We start from the raw sequence: 2360 nt of genomic DNA, 5'->3' as shown, positions 1-2360 counted from the left end.
TTGCAATGCCTGGAGATGTGTTTGGTTTTCCCAACTGGAGGGTTGCTGCTGGCATCCAGTGGGTAGAAGCCGAACCTCCCCGAGGGGAGGCTGCTGTTGAACATCTTACAAAGCGCCAGAAGCCAGCTACTCTAACAAAGCGCCAGAAGCCGGCTACTCTTACAAAGCGCCAGAAGCCGGCTACAACAAGGAATCATCCGGTCCAACATGTTAATATTGCCAAGAATGAGAAACCGTGCACTAGAAAAATCCAGATGACGCAAGACTGTGAGAAGCTAGTGAAGGGTGCTATCTTTTCAGATGCTAACTCCCCCACTCACCAACTGAGCAGGTCCCTCTGCCTCCCTCCTGCCCACCCCCACTCAAGCCCAGCCCCCTCCCCAGCCTAGCAAAGCCTCGCATTCTTACCCACCACCTACTCCCTTCTCTGCAGAAAGCACAAACAGGAACTCATTATCTTCCTCCTCAAAACCTTCCTATCCCTCACTCTTTGTCATGGTTAAAAATACCACCCTCCTCCTCCTTACAGGTGAGCACCATTGTCCCCTCCTTGTGTGTGCCCCACCACCAGCCAACAAGCTGTGTTTGTTGAATCTCCCAAGTCTCTCCTGCTCATCCTTGCCTTCCTACTTCACTAACTTACTTGGGACAAAATAGCTTCTCATGCATCTCTTTTCCAGTCATTAGGCTGAAGTCACTTTTTATTCATCTACGTTTGATCATCCAGAGCATTTTTTTTTCTTTTGAGATAGGGCCTCGCTCTGTTGCTAAGGCTGGAGTGCACTGATGCAATCATGGCTCACAGCAGGCCTTGACCTCCAGGCTCAAGCGATCCTCCCACCTCAAGGGATCCTCCCACCTCAGCTTCCCAAGTTGCTGGAACTAGAAGCACATACTACTATGTCTGGCTAATTTTAAATTTTTTTGTAGAGATGGGGTCTTGCCATTTTGCCCAGGCTGGTCTCAAACTCCAGGGCTCAAATGATTCCCTTGCTTTGGGTCTCCCAAAGTGTTGGGATTACAGGCATGAGCCACCTTGCCTAGCCCAGAGCATGATTTTCATAAGGAATTAAACTCAGGGGTCTAAACTCAAGATACCCACCTAGCTCCTGGTCTGTGACTTCAGGATGTTCATGGTGGAACTTTAGAGTTCTGCACCTTGCCCTTCGGCCCTCTCCTTCAGCAGACAAGGTGGCCTCTTCCAGTCCAGGGTTCGTGCCCCCAACCCACTCTAGTTCCCATCTCCTCTCATCCTCAGTACCTGTTCTATCAATGAACCATCCCTTCCTCTCAACCTCACCTACCAACCCAGATGCTTGCCTGCCCACACATTTTTAAAGAAGCCTCTACCCTTACCTCCCACTTGCTAGACAGCTACATTTCTGAAAAGAGTTGTCCACGCTTACTGTCTCCCACTCCGTCCTCAACCCACCGCAATCTGGCTTCCAATCCCTCCACTCCATCGAGACAGCTCTGGTAAAAGTTATCAGCCTTCTCATTGTCAAATGAAATGAACACTTGCTTTCTGGTCCTTTCTTGATGAAATTTCCTGTGACATTTGTGAATGTTGCTCATTCCTTCCTTGTAAAAGCAATTTCTTCCCATGCCCCCTGGTTCTCCTCTGGTTCTCTTCTTCTCATTATTCACTCTCCCAACAGCTTGAACTGGCAAGAAAGACAGTGCAGGGTGGTGAAGAGCCTGGACTCCAATGCTCCTTGATATGGTTTGGCTGTGTCCCCACCCAAATTTCATCTTGAATTCCCATATGCATTCCCCTGCACAAACTCTCTCTCTCTTTGCCTGCTGCCATCCACGTAAGACATGACTTGCTCCTCCTTGTCTTCTGCTGTGATTGTAAGGCTTCCCCAGCTGCGTGGAACTGTAAGTCCAATTAAATGTCTTTCTTTTGTAAATTTCCCAGTCTCACGTATGTCTTTATCAGAAGCCTGAAAATGGACTAATACACTCCTCTACTCACTAGTGGTTGGCCTTGGGCAAGTTACTCAACACTCCTGTGCCTCAGTTTCCTCAACTGCAAGATGGTGTAAGGCTTTTTAGTCTCATTGTTTTCCATGTCTGAACATGCATCATGTTCTCAGATCATGCTGAACCTGGTAGAGTCACCCACATATATTATGTGTTCATGCTCAGTCTTTACTCAGGCACTTGGGAGTGCCCAGCCAGTATCTGTGAATATATGCATGAACACTACTCTGGATTGGGTTTCCCCAGAAGTATACCTTGAGACAAGGAGATGGGTGCAGTTACTTTATTTGGGATCCCAAGAACAAATAAGGAAGTGAGAAAGTAAGGCAAGGAAGGGAGAAGAGGCAAAATCAAAGAGTGACTTAATGAGGGAG

At 47.9% G+C, this 2360-nt stretch overlaps 1 annotated feature.

Moving 5' to 3' along the window:
• Positions 686–980: an enhancer, noted in NCBI's record as "tiled region #3250; HepG2 Activating DNase matched - State 9:DNaseU, and K562 Activating DNase unmatched - State 20:ReprD". NCBI's record gives its function as "activates a minimal TATA promoter and a strong SV40 promoter by Sharpr-MPRA in HepG2 and K562 cells {active_cell/tissue: HepG2 | K562}" and the evidence as "EXISTENCE:reporter gene assay evidence [ECO:0000049][PMID:27701403]".

The sequence above is a fragment of the Homo sapiens genome, chromosome 8 (genome assembly GCF_000001405.40).
Source record: "Homo sapiens chromosome 8, GRCh38.p14 Primary Assembly".
Lineage (NCBI taxonomy): Eukaryota > Metazoa > Chordata > Mammalia > Primates > Hominidae > Homo > Homo sapiens.
Note: the sequence above shows the minus strand (reverse complement) of the source record. Positions and strands in the feature narration are given on the sequence as shown.